The sequence below is a fragment of the Homo sapiens genome, chromosome 8 (genome assembly GCF_000001405.40).
Source record: "Homo sapiens chromosome 8, GRCh38.p14 Primary Assembly".
In the NCBI taxonomy this organism is placed as follows: domain Eukaryota; kingdom Metazoa; phylum Chordata; class Mammalia; order Primates; family Hominidae; genus Homo; species Homo sapiens.
In genome coordinates this window covers 121843442-121844839 of record NC_000008.11, presented here as the reverse complement: position 1 = coordinate 121844839, position 1398 = coordinate 121843442, and the positions used below count along the sequence as shown (strand labels likewise).

At 37.8% G+C, this 1398-nt stretch overlaps 1 annotated feature.

Moving 5' to 3' along the window:
* Positions 383–897: an enhancer, noted in NCBI's record as "NANOG hESC enhancer chr8:122856182-122856696 (GRCh37/hg19 assembly coordinates)". NCBI's record gives its function as "activates a minimal SCP1, AML or CMV promoter by ChIP-STARR-seq in naive H9 embryonic stem cells {active_cell/tissue: H9 hESC(naive)}" and the evidence as "EXISTENCE:reporter gene assay evidence [ECO:0000049][PMID:30033119]".

Sequence of the window (1398 nt, the reverse complement as noted above, 5' to 3'; positions counted from 1 at the left end):
GGAGACCGCTTTTTCTTTAATAATTCTCTATTTTACAATATCCAGTATCTTATTTTCTACATACTATTAGGTTTGTGCAAAAGTAATTGTGCCAACCTAATAATAATGTCTTAAAGATTTCTTCCCCTGAGTGCTCCTCTTTGTAGCTGCTCTGTGTTTTTAGCCTCATTGCAACGTAAGAAGGAAGCTTTTAGCTGTTGTTATACAATTTCTATGTTGTGCCTAAAGGGAAGAGGACCCCATACTGAGCGGTGTGGGCAACATTACTCAGGCCTCTGAAGCTTGGGATCTTACTTACAAACCATTTTGCACTCATCATTGTTATGTAGGTCAGACACACTTCCCAAATATGACTCAATTCAAGTTTGGATTCTTCAATGAAAAAATATCTGAAAATCTGCGAATACTTCCCAGTGTGCTGAGAGAGCACCTTTATTTGTTATAGTGTACTTTCCCCCAGGGGTCTGTGGTCTGGGAAGGGAAACTAGAATACCCTGGATTATACTTAGCATTTTATAATTACTAACTGAAACCCAATCCAAGGCTTTCCAGGCACTTGCCATCCTTAACACATCTGGCCTCCCTTTTCCCTTTTTCCCTGGTCTGGCCCTACAAGAGGAGCCCTTAGATAAATAAACTGAAACGTGTATGTGGTCACCAAAAGATCTCTGCGGATAGCAGAATCTAACCAAAGCAACCCCGGGGCCTGCTGTGCCTTTGTTCACTGCCTTTCAGGGATGTAAGCAGCCAGGAGGTGTATACTGCAAAATCATTGCTGTTCTAGCTGGGTCCACACTTTCCCTGACAATAACTCATACTTGGGAATGGCCAAACAAGGCATTCTGACCATCTGCATTTCTGCAAAGAGAAAGATGTTATTATTAAATTTCTTGTCTTTTATATATATTTAAGCCAACATTGATTGAATCTCTGCTTAGTACTTGAATTATAGTATTTTAGATTTTACCAAAATGAGCAAAAAATCTGTAAAAGGAACTTATTTGCTGAGACAGTGTTTATGTACATAAAAAATGAAGGGAGAAAGAAAAATGAAATTAAGATATACTGAGCATCTACTCTGTAAAATAGGACAAACCAAATAGAAATAGTGTATTTGTCAAGCTAATTTGCAAAATGAAATCTAGATAGTGGAACTGTGGAGTTGGAATGCTGCTGTTTTAAGGAGGGATTTATTTTTAACTCTATTCTCAGGATGTAGATGATAGAAAATAATCCTATATAGGCCTAGATGTAGAGGAAGAGATGTGTGATGAATTACATGCCTAAAATGCAATAGGGCTATGCTAGCAGGTATCATTCCCATTTCACGGATGAGGAAGTAAATCTGTCAGAATCCCACTATCTTTAATTTATTCATTATCTCCTTCATTCATTCAT